The sequence below is a fragment of the Homo sapiens genome, chromosome 10 (assembly GCF_000001405.40).
Source record: "Homo sapiens chromosome 10, GRCh38.p14 Primary Assembly".
Classification (NCBI taxonomy): Eukaryota; Metazoa; Chordata; class Mammalia; order Primates; family Hominidae; genus Homo; species Homo sapiens.
In genome coordinates this window covers 58,696,674-58,713,911 of record NC_000010.11, presented here as the reverse complement: position 1 = coordinate 58,713,911, position 17,238 = coordinate 58,696,674, and the positions used below count along the sequence as shown (strand labels likewise).

The 17,238-nt window shown below is 39.2% G+C and overlaps 1 protein-coding gene across 12 annotated transcripts in view; it reads right to left on the bottom strand.

Annotated features, from left to right (window-relative positions):
* Window positions 1-17,238, bottom strand: part of BICC1 (BicC family RNA binding protein 1) — a 319,216-nt gene that overhangs the window by 117,524 nt on the left and 184,454 nt on the right. For all 12 annotated transcript variants that reach the window (XM_047425780.1, XM_047425781.1, XM_047425778.1 and 9 more), the window contains one exon: window positions 11,769-11,838. In XM_047425780.1, the coding sequence (XP_047281736.1) occupies window positions 11,769-11,835 (67 nt within the window). In that variant the 5' untranslated portion in view covers window positions 11,836-11,838. The remainder of the gene's footprint in view (window positions 1-11,768; window positions 11,839-17,238) is intronic.

Below are 17,238 nucleotides of genomic sequence, written 5' to 3'. Positions count from 1 at the left end.
TATAAATCACAGTAAAATCCTTAATGGATCTCAAAAAAGGAGAAAAGGAAAGAAAGATACCATGAAGAACAAGAATAATAAAAATAAACGTAGGCTGAACATTTTTAAAAGACAGAGGTCTAGCACACTTCTAAAAGTCAGGTGAGGAATTACCCAAGATTGCCTTTCTTTTTGAAGAAGACACTTAAGAACCAAATGTAGCTTAAGTCTGAGTTTTCTTAAATAAATGTGTTAGTAAATCTTTATTTTTTGTGTGTGACCAAACACTCATCATTAGCACTTATGTGCTTGCTTCTTACAGAATGGACAGATTACCGTGTCTTGAATTTTGAAACCAAGGTTTATATCCAAACTACATCACTTACAATTCACTGGCCTTCAACAAATTATATCATCTTTCACATTAGTTATTAATATATATAATGGGGAGAATAACACTCCTTCATGTGGGTTATTGTGAGGATTAAAAGAGATTACAACAGGCATCTATTATAATGCCTATTACAAAACAGGTAAATAATCAATATTTTCTCCTTTCCTCCTCATAAAGTTTAACAGGTAAGAAAAAACTGCAGATGGAAGGGATCCTGGGATGTCACCACAGGCAAGAGGACATAAAAAGCATCTGTTCTGGAAACAGGAAGATTGAGGGAGAAGGAGCCCAAGAAAGCAGAGAGCAGCAGTCACAGAGTCAGGCAAGCTAAGAAAAATCCAGACCCAGTCCAGTCGCCACCTGGTGTTGAATAACTGGGTGTGTTTTACTGTTTAATTTAGGCATTTTCCTCACTTTCCTTTTTTAAAATTTTATAAAACTTCTGATTGTTTCTTAAGAGATTTCATGGTGCTTTTAAATTTATACATTAAGGAGTTATTCTTGACCATATAATATTATCTTTGCATATAGTATATTTTAAAATGCTGATAAAAATGCTGTGTCTAGTATCTACGACTATTCTTTTAAATATAGACTTTATTTTTCAGGGCAGTTTCCGGCTCAGAGCAAAATCAAGTGGAAAGTACAGAGAATTCCCATACGCTGCTTTCTATACGCAGGCACAGCCTCCCCGGGGACTGTCAACATCACATCAACTTCAAAACCTGTTCTATGGGCCTTGACAAATGTACAATGACATATAGTCACCATTGTAAATCATACAGAATAATTTCACTGCCCTAAGAATGCTCTGTGCTCTGCCTATTTTTCCCTCCCACGAAGTCCCTGATAACCACTGATCTTTTTACTGTCTCCAAAGTTTTGCTTTTTCTACAATGACATAGAGTTGAAATCATAAAGTATGTAGCCTTTCCAGACTGGCTTCTTTCACTTAGTATAATGCATTTAAGATTGAATCCTCCATGCCCTTTCATAGTTTGATAGCTCATATCTTTTTAGCACTGAATAATATTTCATTGTGTCAACGTACCACATTTATCCATTCACCTACTGAAGGACATCTTGGTTGTTTCCGAGTTTTGATAATTACAAATAAAGCTGCTATAAGCTTCTGTTCCATGTGCAGGTTTTTGTGCAGACATAAGTTTTCAACTCCCCTGGATAAATGCCAAGGAGAGAGACAGCTGCATCATATGGTAACAGCATGTTTAATTCTACAAGAAACTGCAAAACCATCTTCCAAAGTAGCTGTACCATTTTGCATTCCCACCAAGAATGAATGAGAGTTCCTATGGCTCCACATTCTCACCAGCATTTGGTGTTGTCAGTGTTTGGGATTTCAACCATTCTAACAGGTAGGTAGTGATATCTTAACGGTTCTAATTTGCAACTCTAATGGTACATGATGTTGAGGATCTTTTCACATGCTTATTTGCCATCTGTATATCTTCTTTGGTGAGGTGTCTGTTAAGATCTTTGACCCACTTTTAAAATCAGGTTGTTTTCTTATTGTTAGGTTTTAAAAAGTTCTTTGTATATTTTGAGTAACAGTTCTTCATCAGATGTGTCTTTTGCAAATATTTTCTCCCCGTCTCTGGCTTGTCTTTCTGTTGATGTTTTCACTTTTTTACTTACTTTCTCACCTCTCTATTCCACTGAAAATTTGTTTCATTTCTAAGTTAAGGGAAAATATCTTTAAAAAAAAAAAACAAAAAAAAAAACTACCAGATATATTTGCTTATTTAGGCTTGAGAAGATAACTGAAAAGCTGAGACCATTTTCCTCTCTGACCCTGGTACAGGAGAGAGAGAAAAAAGATTGGAAAGAACAGCTAGTTTGCAGCAGTTATAAGATAAGCAAACAAGCCAATACCTGGGACCTTCAGAAGAGAAGAAGGCGGAACTAGCTGGAGATCAAGAAATGAACCCAAGCTCAGGTCCTCAGTCTTGCTAATAGGTCACCGAACATGAGCTGTCTCACCTGTAAAATGATGTGTGCGCTGTATGTCTGTGAGTGTGAGAAAATACATATTCGAAAAGGATCTCAAATGTGCATGTTTGGCACTATCTACAAATACAGTTATTCATGTAGAAAGAGATGCACTGAAAAACTGAATATCTAAAAGTAGTCGTTTTATAAAATTTTTATTGTTGAAGTATACTGGGATCTTCAAGAACTGGAATGGCCCAGGTCTCTGTTCTCCTCTGAGTGGTCCTATTTAGACCATGCTCTCTCTAGCCACAGTGACTATTGGTACATTGCATACAACTTATTCAACTCTTTGGGTGAATTTCTACTCTTGGCCCTCGATTAGCATTCACCAAGTGATGATCTTAATAATATATACAAAAGTTTTAAGTACAAAATATTCTGTAGGCACAGAGGCTCATGCCTGTAATCCTAATACTTTGGGAGGCTGAGGTGGGAGGATAGCTTGAGCCCAGGAGTTTGAGACCAGCCTGGGTAATGCAGCGAGACCCCAACTCCACAAAAATTTAAACATTAGCCAGGTATGGTGGCTTGCACCTGTAGTCCCAGCTACTTGGGAGGCTGAGGTGAGATGATCACTTAAGTCATGGAGGCCAAGGCTGCACCGAGCTATGATCATGCCACTGCACTCCAGCCTGGGCAAAGGAGCAAGTCCCTATCTCAAAAACAAGAACAACAACAACAAAACCACACATTTTTCTACCCAGAAGAAATACACAGGTCCTCAGGTATGTGACAAACAGTACTTTCGAAGATTTCAACCACACATACAGAAAAAAACCACACACACACATATACATGTAAAAGAAAACCAACACAACAAGCAATTTATAACATATTCTGGGTTTATTTTCCTTCCAAATTCATTTTTTCAAAGTTGTTTAATGACATATCAAAAAGTCTCTGCCTAAGGAAATAACACATGGCATGAAATAGCAAGGTAAAATTCAGAGGCAAGCACTTTTCAAAAATGTACACACCTTTGAGTGGTTTCATCTTTTTAAACGGTAAAATCTAATTTCCCCTGAAAAAAGAGGTGTTGTCTACAAGAAATGCTAACCTTAGCCTACCTTCAAATCTCTGTAATCTCTGTAATCTGCAAGGACTGAGACATTATGAAACTGGACTGAGCATCATCAGCTAATCTTGGCAATGGTTGCTGAAGAGATATTATTATACATTATGGAACTTCCTGGAATAGGGAAAAGCACCATGGAAGGTATGGGTGTGAAAGGGCATTTGAGTACAGTGATTTGGAGTTCTGGAAACAAACAGACCTGAATTTGGGTTTGAGGTCTGCTACTTACCAACTGGAAAACCATGGGCAAACTAACCTACCTTTACTGGCTTTAGTTTCTTCATCCGAAAATGAAAATACTACCACCTCACTCATAGAGTTTGGTGGTATCACTCACTGATAATTTGAAAAGATTATGTACATAAAATATTTAGCACAGTGCCTGACCCCAGGAGGTTTCAACAAATGGTAGGACCCACTTACATAATCGCTAATTATGTAAATAAATACTAATTAAAATAACCACAACCAAAACAACTATAGTCTGGAGGTCTACCAGGAGGCTGTGTCTTGTTAAGTCTCATTTAAAAGCTTACTGAGAATGGCACCGGAGTTTCACTCATTCAGGTGTCCTGTGAATGACAATGATCAGGTCATTGTCCCTAAGTTTCCTTCCACTTCCCTCATTAGTGCAGGCAGTCATCATTAGGACTATTCAGAACCACTAAAGAAGGTTTAGTCACAATCATGTCCCACATTTTTTTACTTAAGGGGTCTATAGGGAAGATATCAGTAGTGGATAATTTTCATAACAGTGATTATCACTCATCTGGGAAGGCAATAATTCTAAATCTTTTTCCTACATGACACACCTTAGGGATATACATTCCCATCTGTATTAGTGGTTCCACTGTTTCCATGATTGAGTTGAGGGCTCAATCTACAAACACTTACTGAGTGCCAACTATGAACTGGTTACAGTGTTAGGGATAGACGGATTCACAAAATCCACGTGCTCCTTACCCTTTGGAGAGCTGACCACCTAGCACAGTGTTCTACAACCTTTGTCATCCATTTTATATCATGACCTACTAATATATTTGTGCACAGGTGTATGTTTGCACATAAACAGACGCATATGAAAGTTTTACTAAACAATACCCTTACTGAAATAAGCCAGGTTCAGAAAGATAAATACTGCATGTTCTCACTCATATGTGGAAGAGAAAAAAGTTGATCTCACAGAAGTAGAGAACAGAACAATGAGTACTAGAGGCTGGGAAAGGTGTGGTGTGGGACGGTGGTATAGAGAAAGGTTGGTTAACAGTTACAAAGGTAAGATCTAGATTGGAAGAATAAATCCTAGTGTTCTGTAGCACTGTAGGGTGACTACAGTTAAATATAATTTATTATATATTTTCAAATAGCTACAAGAGAGGATTTTTAATATTCCCAACACAAAGAATAATAAATGCTGGAGGTGATGGATATGCTAATTACCCTGCTTGTGATATAGGAGTTAAGAGAATACTATTTAGGCAGATAGTAAGGGTAAGAAGTCCTCAGTAAGGTTTTCCTTTTAAGGAAAAGTAGCCCCCAAATCATTTTCTTGTCTAACAAAGAGCAGCCAGTAAAATCGAGCTGCAAACATAGACAAGCAAGCTGGAAGCTTGCATGGGTGAATGCCAGCAACTGTGCCACTAGGAAAAGACCACCTGGGGGCTAGGTAGGTCCAACACGGCAGCTCCATCTTCCCCTTTCCTTGTCAACCACGTGCACAGTAAGTAAGCAGGCAACATGGCACAGGCCAAGTAGAGACCCCATTTGCATAGTAAAAGATTAGGGTGGAGTGGCCAGCTTCTTCACGTGCTATGTAAACATCACACCTGGTCCAACCAATCTTCGGGCCCTATGTATATCAGACACCATTTCTTCAAGCCTGTCTATAAAACCCTGTGCACTCTACTGCAGGCTGGAAGTCTCTCTTGTAGGAGAGGGAGCTGTTCTCCTTTCTCTTTCTTTTGCCTATTAAACCTCTGCTCTTAACCTCACTCCATGTGTGTCCGTGTCCTTGATTTCCTTGGCATGAGACAACGAACCTCAGGAATTTACCCCAGACAATGATGCCGCTTCACTTGGAGCATTACATCTGGTATACTTGTATTGAAATATCATACTGTACTCTATAAATATGTAAAGTATTCTATCAATTAAATATTGGCCAGGCATGGTGGCTCACACGTGTAATCCCAGCACTTTGGGAGGCCATGGCAGGCAGATCACTTGAGGTCAGGAGTTCAAGACCAGCCTGGCCAACATGGTAAAACCCTGTCTCTACTAAAAATACAAAAAAAAAAAAAATTGGCTGGCTAGGCGCGGTGGCTCACACCTGTAATCCCAGCACTTTGGGAGGCCATGGCAGGCAGATCACTTGAGGTCAGGAGTTCACGACCAGCCTGGCCAACATGGTAAAACCCTGTCTCTACTAAAAATACAAAAAAAAAAAAATTAGCTGGCTAGGCGCGGTGGCTCACACCTGTAATCCCAGCACTTTGGGAGGCCGAAGTGGCTGAAATACCTGAGGTCGGGAGCTCGAGACCAGCCTGACCAACATGGAGAAACACTGTCTCTACTAAAAATACAAAATTAGCCGGGCGTGGTGGCAGGTGCCTTGTAATCCCAGCTACTCGGGAGGCTGAGCCAGGACAATCGCTTAACCCAGGAGGTGGAGGTTGCGGTGAGCCGAGATTGCGCCATTGCACTCCAGCCTGGGCAATAAGAGCAAAACTCCATCTCAAATAATAATAATAATAATAAGCTGGGCGTGGTGGTGTGTGCCTGTAGTCCCAGCTACTCAGGAGGCTGAGGCAGGAGAATCGCTTGAACCCGGGAGGCGGAGGTCACAGTGAGGTGAAATTGCACTACTTCACTCCAGCTTGGGTGACAGAGTGAGACTCTGTCTCAAAAAATATAAAATAAAAATTTAATAACAAACAATGCCCTTACACTCTATTTTTTTTTAACCTAGTTGGGTTATTTTACTATTGGCTGCGACGCACTAACCTAACACCTGACACACGAATAGGTTGCAACCCACCATTAGCAACACTTTGGTCCAGCATGCCATGCCCTGCCATGCCTCTTCCGTGCCCTCAGCCCTTTAAGTACAACTATGTTAAAGCCCTCAACTAACTAGTTCACTATGAACACCCAATAAAAGTGTAAGCATACTCAACAAAACATTTTCTTCTGGAAAAAACAAAACGAACTGTCTACTATTTTTCTCATGCTAACATTTTCTATTAGATACCTACTTGTTCTGATAAAATGTAACCAAAAACAATAAAACCTCATGGAATTACGAAGATTCTTTTGTTGATTCTGGGAGGAAGAGAATGGCTAAACTTGGTGCCAAATTGTCTCCAAACCAGGAAACATCAAGTAACCCAGTCAATGCCTCTCATTCCTGCTAGTCCTGGGGTTTCCTAAGTCATCATGCAAGGACCACTTGCAGGGATTAGTTCCTATCACTTGGTTTAACTCTGCAATAAAGCTTCACTCATGCTGACCTCAGTTATTTGAAATTTGGCTTAAAAACTTTAAACATTTTTTTACTCACTGTATTAGTCTGTTTTCATAGTGCAATAAAGAAATACCTGAGATTGGGTAATTTATAAAGGAAAGAGCTTTAATTGACCCACAGTTCTGCATGCCTGGGGAGGCCTCAGGAAACTTACAATCATGGCAGAAGGGAAAGCAGGCACATCTTACATGGCAGCAGGGGAGAGAGGGCGTGGGAAGGAAGAACTTTCAAACAGTTTTAAACTCATCAGATCTTGTGAGAACTCATTCACTATCATGAGAACAGCGTGGAAGGAAACCACCCCCATGATCCAATCACCTCCCACCAGATCTCTCCTTTGACATCTGGGGATAAAGGGGATTACAATTCAAGATGAGATTTGGGTGGGGACACAGCCAAACCATATCATTTACCGTTCACCTTCGCCAGTCTAAGAAGAGACTGATGAGCAGATTAAGAGCAAAAGAAGACTGTGAGAAAAATGTTTACCTTGTTTAAGAAAACAAACTTATCTAGCATCATGAAGCTCACAGCACAATATACCAGTGTGATAAATGCTCATTGCAAATCATTTTTATGTATTTCTTAAAGCAGGTCTGGCAGGACTTCTATTTGGCAAAACAATCAAATTTGTTAAGAATGCAATTTGTACTTTAATGAAGCTGCATTTATTTTAAAATATTAAGGCTATGATTCAGAATAGCATGTTCAAAATTTTAATGAGTCCTTGAAGTTATTCTGTTGGTAAGGGTGTATGGTATTAAACACCTTAATCCCTAAATACTGGTTTCACAGGCACAAACCTCAAATTTTTCAATGTAAAGGAGACTGTTCTAGTATTCTCAATCTAAGAGTCAGAAGGAGTTAAATTTTTATCCACTCAAAATAAATTTACGTGATACAGAAGAAATATCAAATATTGCTTTGTTGTTCTTAATCGTGACCCTCTTTAAGACAATTCTACAGTCACCCATTTAAATGTCCATTATACTGAACCTTAAATTCTCAGTTCTCTCCAGCTCTAATGATGACTCAACCTTCCAATAATTTCAAATACTCTAGAGATGTTTTAAAAAATTCTAGGGCAAGGCCTTGAAAAATTACCAATTGGGTACCATGTTCACTATCTGTGTAACAGTAACACTAAAAGCCCAATCTCCACCAGTATGCAATAAACCCATGTAAAAAATATGCACATGTACCCCTGAATCTAAAATTAAAAAAAGTTTAAATAATTCTATAGTTCCTTAGTTTATATCACAAAACATGCACTTCCCTAAAATGCCCTGTGCACATGAAAATATTTCTATTACTTTTGCCCCTACTATATTCCATCTAGAATACGGTCACAGAAGAATGAAAGTGGAGTGAAAGGTAAGAAAGAAAAGTGAGATGATAAGAAAGGGAGGAGGAAAGGGAATGGACAAAAATTAGATGGTCTTTTATCCAACATTTAGCACAGGCACAGAACAATGAGGTTGTCATCACTCTAAACTAATCCACATTAACTGACTACAAAGATGATAGAAAAATGAAATTAATGCATCCATAAAAATGCAGTTCTATAGATGCCAAGATGGGCATTATCCAGAAGCGACTGTAGAAGGACTCTGCTGTTTCTCAGTAGTGGTCACCCTTTGCCTTCAGAACACATGGTCTTCTTAGTGATATTTCCATATCAGATGGTGAGATTTGTGTTTCCCAAACTCAGTCTGACCATAAGAACAAGTAGTGAAACTTGTTAAATATAGCAGCTCCCAGTACCAGCCTCAGAACTACTAAGCCAACATCTTTAGAGGAGAAGAATCTGAACTCTCTAACTGATGGCAAATTCAGGCTGTTGGCTGCTTGCCTTCTTGCCAGGCAGCTTCCTTCCAGCTCTTCAAGCAAGTGAGCCATACGGCCACTCACACAGCTGCTCTCGATAAAGGATTAATGGCTTAAAAAGTAAAGTTTAGACAGAGCTATGGAAGCTAATTTAGGAAACACAGGACTAAATTCCAGTAAGGTAAAGAAGGGGGCAAACTGTGGTAACAGCGACCACGAAAAATGTTTGTCTAGGCTCAAATATTTAGCCAACATGCATTTTAGAAACTCCAAAGTGAAATGCAACACAAACCTATGGCTGTACTGTCTCTCTAGCTCAGCCTGGGGATTATGTGTATATTCCAAAGTTTCACATCACCATGGGATTTAGAATGTAATAATCATCCAAAACACGGCATGAGTCCCTAAATACATTTATATTCTTGGGTCTCTTGAATAATAATAGTCTGGAATGAAAAAGCTCTAAAGACCAACAATTCCTTCCTCTGCAACACTCAGGGGTGAGAAGGAAAAGCCACATCAGATCAAAGAGCAAATAATTACCTTCTAACATTCTTCCTGCCATTTTCATTTCACTTTTATTAAATACAAATTATGGTCCAAAAATTGCATCTCTGAAGTGAATCATTTAAAAAATAATATAGGTATACACATACCAGGGATGTTAGCCAAGAACTGATTCAGCAGCTGTGTGCTTAAATGATAAGAGCAACTCAAGTAAATTCTCAACAGTAAATTCCTCTGAGGCAAACTTCTGATTCTCTCCCTTCCATGTTCTCTTTAAGTGCATTCTGCGCATCATATAGTACTATATACATCCATAACACTTCATAAATAATACAAAATAAATGATGTCTATAGATCCAGGCCTGAAGGGATCAATTCTTAGGCATAGTTCCAAAGGTTAATTTTAACCAGGTGGAAATTATGCCAAACACCCTCGAATGTACTGCTGAAATATTCTTAATTCCAAAGCAAAATATATAATCAAAATGTGCAATATAGTTGGCCATTTTGAATGGGTTAAGTGTCAATGACAAGAAACCAATGAATAAAATCTATTCAGCTCCACATTTTCTGAAATGTCTAATGTTGCCACCACATTTTGAACAAAAACTAATCAGTTCTCAGTTTCTCAGGATAATGGCATGGGGAGAGGAAAACAACAGCATGGATACTGCAAGAGAATAAGACATAAAAAGTTATCTAGCATTGTTTAAATGTTCATGTTTCCTTGGGGATTTTCTTTGGAGACTGATTAAGTTGCATTTTTATTAGGCTAGTAATAAAGCTAATTTTATTCTTTAAGTAAAAATGCCTGACAACAGGGAAAGAAGATTTAGTCTATGTTCAAGTTCCAATTTATTCAAGTAGTAGGACAGAAATTTTTAAATGCTGCAAACAGCTAGATAATCCATGAACGGCAGTTTCTTCTTCTGCATAATGAGTACAAAACATTCCAACATACCACAAAAATTACTGAAGATTAATTAAGAATATATTCTACACCACTTGAGAAATACAGGCTTATACAAAGATACAGAATTGCACTTGCAAATTCACCATGTCTTCTTATGATTATTTAGCATATAAGTTCCCAATTCCTTGCCGCCCATGATAACAATTAAGAAGGTAACAAGGCTGGGTGCGGTGGCTCACACCTGTAATCCCAACACTCTGGAAGATCAAGGCAGGAGAATTGCTTGAACTCAGGAGTTCAAGACCAGCCTGAGCAACATATAGTGAAACTCCATCTCTACAAAAAATGCAAACATTACCCAAGCATGGTGGTGTCCTATAGTCCCAGCTACTTGAGTCTGTGGTGGGAGGATGGCTTGAGCCTGGGAGGGTAAGGCTGCAGTGAGCCATGATCGTGCCACTGCACTCCAGCCTGGGTGACAGAGTGAGACCCTGTCTCCAAAAAAAAAAAAAAAAAGTAGCAAGATAGGAGTTTCTACAGGAATTCCAGTCAATTCAAGTCCAGCTAACAACACTCACTAAATAACTAAAATAATTTTTATTCCATGTGATGAGTAACTCTAACGAAATGCAATTAAAAGAAGGCAAACTGGACTGAAGTAAGAAAGGAAACTGAGAAATCTTACAGTGTTATCATTTAGTAGTAAGTCATGGGGAGAAGGGGCAGCAAATACGAAACTAAACAGCAGCAATAACAATGCCAGACCATGATGGATAATTGCAGCTCAGACTGCAATTATTTTTTAATTGTTTGATGGTATTTGTCATTACATCCTGACAACTACATGCATCTGCATTCTTCTAATGAAATATACTCCACAAAGTTTGTTGAGACTAAGGTCATACTTTAAAAACTATCCATAAAAATATATATTGGCAGGTCACATTTGAAAACACTATGTAATCCAGGGAGAAAACTAGGGAGGCCTTTAGTTTCATTTCTGAACATCTATGCACTGGGTAGTGTCCCATAGGGTAAAACCAGGCAAGGGAAACACTCAGCCTAAAAGAGAAATCTAGTGGGTTCTTTGCTGTCTGATAGATGAAGACAAGCAGCACTCGAGACCTGAAATCTAAGGTTCATATCATACTGGAGGGAAAAAAAAAACCAGCTATTAAATCTGTGTAGTACATAAAAAAGAACCCTGAAATATAAACAATAGAAATTTATGTGTTAAAAACATGTGAAGAGTTACCATGACTCATGGATATCAATCGAATAAGCATCCTTGAAATCACAGGTTGCTATATCTTTCATAATTACATTTCTATCATAATGTTAATAGTTAATATTTTTCTGTTGTTGGATAAAAACTATAATTTTTAATTATGAAAATCCTCCTGAAAGACTGCTACTTAACAAACATTTTGGGACAAAAGTGTTAAGAATAAAGGTTAGTTTTCTCCCCAGCAAACCTGCAGTAATTCCATAATCTCAGTTATCAAAACCACCTATTTCTTGCCCTCTCACAATTTACCTTTCTTGGATTTGGCTCCGATCTTCAGTTTTGATGGCCAAGCAATCTGCGTATTTGTTTCCTCCATGATCTGTAACAAAAATTGAGAGAAATATTGACTCAATTAAAAACTTGTATTTACAGATAAGATTTTTCACACACAAAAAAGTTTATTTTCAAGTTCCTAAGTTCATGTTCATACAAAATGATCTCATTTGAAAACAATGCAAAGAAAAAAAAAACCCTGGGGGGAAAAGAGATGTTTTTATAAGCCTTTAATCTATTAGAAATATTCAAATATATTTTGTTACTCCCAGTGTTCCTCTCCACAATGCTTCAGAATTTTAACATAGACACAAACCAAAAAGTACATGAACAAGTAATTAACCCAACTTGATGCCAGAACCATCAGAGATGCTTGTGCTGAATAAAATTCCCCAAGACAATTGCCAAGGGATTGCAACACACCAAACATGATTCCTGTAATACAAAACTGCATGAGTTAGACCATACTAAATGAAGATTTTTTTCCCTGGGGGAAAAAATAACTTGCTTTGGGTGCATTTGTATTTCATTAAAACTGATGAAAACCCTCTAAACGCGACATCACGTCGTAAGACTGCATTCCCCATCATCCTTTGCCTGGTTCAGAATGGCATTTTTGCCAAAGGTCCTTCCCACTTGCACATGCAGCTAACACTGTCTAGGAGGTCTCAAGACCTGAATGAGTGGAAGCACCAGGACAAGTGAGGGAAGCAACGACTGCCCAGCAACGGAAATGGACGGTAAATAAGAAAAGAACAGGATTTAAAATGTGCGTCCTCTGTTCCTCACTAATTTTACGTGAATTACACTAGATTAATGTTTGCTCATGTAAGACAAACATAGAATTAACCAAACTAATAGAGCAAACTACTAACCAATATGCAAACAGCAAAAAAAAATCATGTATTAATTTAATCACTTGAATTAGACTGGGATAATATTTATCTTTAATATGGATTGAGAGTTCATTAAATATATTAATGGTGAAAACAACCTAAACACATCAAGGGTGCAATCAATAATAAGTACCTTTTTCTCCTCAGTACTGGCTACGTACCGGGCACAAGGAAATGGTTCACATACATCAAACTTCATGAGCCCCCTTTATCATAATATAAAAGGGCTTACAGCAGATGTTTCAGACTGTAAGCCCACAGATGCATTTTGTCTATTCATTGTAAGGTTTTTTAAAGTTTGAGCCAACATTTTTAAATCTGGGAACTTCATAGAACAATTCAGATTTCTGGTTCTCTGGAAAACTTGGCAAATTTAGCACAGACCACTCACATTCCCACATGGCAATGCTTGGCTGGCACTGAGAAACAGCTGCCCCCTTGAGTCAGGGCCAGCAGGCTCTGAGCTGCTCCCAGTCCCTACTACTTCTCTGACTGCGAGGTCAAAGGCCACTTGCCATCATCATCATGGCATTGTACTGCTCACTTGCCATTTATCATGGTGTTTGCTGTTTTTCTCAGAGCAATATTTCTCTACACTTATGTCTCTATTAAAAATTGAACAAAAGTTAAGCCCACACTGTCTTCACTAAGTCAAGGTACTGGTCTGGCCCTGAAGGCAGGTGAGCTCGTTACCTTAATCCTACAGCACCTGGCCCCGGCTGCTGCTTCTCTCATTCATGCCTGTCTCTGCTAATGTGTTTACTGTTTGCACCATTAACTTGGTTAGTTAAGTCTAAACCACTAGTAAAAAAGAAAAAATGTTATCTTTCTCAACTCCCTCTGCATCAGCCATGATGCCACCCCAAAAACATGCCCAGCAGGCTCCCCTTCTGAGTCCCTGCATTCACTATTATCTCTTCCTCAGAATTTCCTGTCCCAGCCCCTTCTCATGCTCAGACTTCAGCTGCCATCTTGTCCAACTCCCCATCCTTTTCTACTCTCACACCAACCCAACCACAATTATTTTTCCCACCTCACTGTGTTTATTTCCCTCCTAACCCTTATTGCAAGTGGAAATCCTCTTATTTTCTGAACTTACTTATTTACAACCTGTTTCTGCAAAACAGAAACTAAGTTCTCTGCCCTGTATACAGCAGGCCCCGGATTTAACTAGTTTCAGAATTTTCCCCTAAGTTACTTAAGACTCTCAAAGAGATAAGATAGAAAAATAAGGCTGCATGCAGTAGCTCATGCCTATAATCCCAGCACTTTGGGAGACTGAGGCAGGAGGATTGCTTGAGGCCAGGAGTTTGTGACCAGCCTGGACAATATAGTGAGACTCCGTCTCTACAAAAAATACAAAAATTAGCTGAATGTGGTGGCACATGCCTGTAGTCCCATCTCAGGAGGCTGGAGCAGGAGGACCACTTGAGCCCAGGAGTTCAAGGATGTAGTGAGCAATGATCATGCTACCACATTCCAGCCTGGGCTACAGATTGAGACACTGTTTAAAAAAAAAAAAGAAAGAAAGATAGAAAAATAAGATCTTACTATAATGTTGCTATTGGTGGGGAGGCAGTAAGAAAACAATCTACATGCTTTTCTTTTTCTGAATTAAATAATGCAGTTGCTTAATCCAGTAAATGAAGTCAAGGGCCATATTATGATACTGTAATAGATAAGTTTGCCTTTTGACATATGTGTAGAAGACCTAACTTTCTGAAATCTTAAATCATTAGTAGAAGTGCCCAGAAATAACCCTGCATGTACACTTATTTTATTAAGCACCAATAGATGCCCATGACAGAAAATAATATGCCAGAGAAAATATCCTAAGAGCAGCAGGTAACTGCCATCAAGTTGGGAAGACAGCTTTATACACACTCCCTCTAAGCCACACTACAACTCCCTGTCTATACCGTGCAGAGAAGTGGGTTCACAAAGACCACTCTCAACCTACTCACATCAACACTGTGTTTAAGGGAAAGTGGGGTAAGCCCAAGCCTCCAATCCTTAATTCTAAAACTAGAGCTCTGTATACTGTACCACACGACCTCTAAAGTTCTATGAGCCACAGTAAATGCCAAACCTCTTAGAGAAAACAAATTGCCAGTAATTAGAATTTGACATCTGGAGCTGACCTCTCCTATATGACTAGAAAAAAAGTGACTCTCTGGAACACCATTTGTGGCCAGCTAATGCCAACTCTTTGGATCATTCATGAAGCTGCTGGCCCCACACAGAGCTCTGGCCAGATGCCTTTGCAGACATCCTTTATTTGTTCATCATTGTGTGTAATCTAGCCATTATGAGCAGGGACTCCGGAGACAAATACCAGCTCTGCTGCTTTCTAGGGGTGCTGTGTTGAGCGAATTACTTAACTTCTATCAATCTCAATTTCCTCCTCTGTAAAATCCTTTATCGTATCTATTTCTAAAGTTGTTGTGAGAACTTAAGAAAACCCAAAGCACATAGCATGGCACGTACTGAGTGCTTGATATTAGCCCTTGTATTTATGATGATATTAATAACTTTTGGTCAGACAGGCACTGTCCTAGATACTAGGGATACAACAGCAAACAAGATAATTCCTACCTTGCAGGAGCTCAGAATCTAACAAGGGAGAAGATAAGCCAACCGCCATCATGGTACTGTGTGCCATGTTTCAGAATGGGGCAGTGCAATATGAGCATGTACAGAGGGGATCCTAACCCGGTCGTGGGTAGTCAAGGAAAGCTACCTCAAGAAAATGCTTACTAATGCCGTGACCTAAAGGAGGAGAAAAAGTTGGCTCACTGGAGAAAAGGTGAAGAATGTGTCCCAGGCAGAGGAGGAGGGCATGTGGAAAGGTCTGGAAAAAGAAGAGAGGGCTGGTACCTGCAAGGCCCTGAGGGTGATTCAGTGCAGCCGAAGGGCTTCAAGGCTCACCCCACACATCCAGGACAGGTAACGTGTCTCTTGTCATCCCCACTGTCCTACGGCTGTGCACACTAATACCCTTCAAACTGACTTGAATTCATGACAGAAAGAGAAGCCACCAAGTACCTGTGCTTAACTGACACTCCCTACAAATAAATTCTGGCCAGTGCAGTGATTACACATAGGAAGGGGCCACACTTACTCACTTTCGGGAAGTCAAAATTTTCCTTAGGATGTGATCAATGAAGCTTTTAAAACCATCATCTACAATGACTCCAGGTCTATTCTTACAGCTTTGATATGGCACACTATTAATTTGTGACAGCCTCAGCCAGTGATGGGAGTAGTGGAGTGTGACGCATTCTGTCATGGGGGTGGGAGGTGGGGGAGGAAGCACAAGGTCTCTACAGGGGGTGTGGGTGGAGTTTGGTCTAGGAACTTCAGTACTGGAGCTAGATTATTGCATCCGGGGGCTGACAAGCACATCTCCTGCAGGGGGTGTGGGTGGAGGTTGGTCCAGGAACCCCAGTACTGGAGCTAGGTTACTGGATCTGGGGGCCGACAAGCACATCTCCTGCAAGTGGCATGGGGTGGAAGAAAGGGCACAAAGGCAGGAGATAGGGCAGTAAGCAAGTCAGAGGTTCTGTATCCACAAGCTATGCAAAAATATGTCCTAAATGTTCATCAAGGCAGGTAAATTAGGGAACTGGAAAAGGTAAGGCTAGGAAGATGTGGCTGAAATCAAAGAAGCTACAAAACCGCTGAGAAGAAAATGACTATTTGTTTCAGGGGAAATAAAAAACTCCACAGTGAGTTTCAACTAGTTGGTTTTTGATCTCTAAAAAAATTTCATTATTGTCCCTATTTGCACCTTCACAAAACCAAAACTGAAAGAATAAACTACTGATTTTGAATTATTTTCTATAAACATTAAAGTAACATTTTCAAAAACATCATGGAAATAAAGAGATAATTTTATGAATGCTACTATGGACAGAGACACTGACACTTTTTCAAGAGGATATTGTACATTTCTCACAATCCAATTAATTCCCAAAAAATCTGACAAGAAAATCACTTCCAAGAAACATGTGATATGTTTAAGTGAGTCAATATGTTGTCCAAAATGTTTAGTTTGCTTTCAAGGAATAATTCAATTAAGCGGATCATTCTGGTCATTCCCCACCCAAAATATGACGCTGATGCCTCCCAGTTGTGTGAAATGTTACCTGAAAGTTGGGAAACACGTTTAAAATAATTAGTACTTCCTTATGGTAACAAAACTATAAATATCATGCTGTCAGTTAAATTAGAGAATGCCAAGTTATGCAAAGCCACAAAATCTCCACGAAGAAAATGATGTCGTCTCAGCAGGGGGGTGGGGGAAGCCCTAGAGTGAATTCCAGCCAGTTTCTTAAAATCTTACTATTGTCCCTGTTTTCACCACCACAAAACCAAAAGAAAGCTCAAAGAACAAACATCTGATGTTGAATCATTGTCTATGAACATTAAAACACACATTAAGTATTTTAAAACTCTTGTTCTAACTCATAATTCTGGATGCTGTATGATTTTGCTATTTCAGGTAAGTCAGTTTCAACTTCCGGACATCCTCATTGACAAAAGAAATC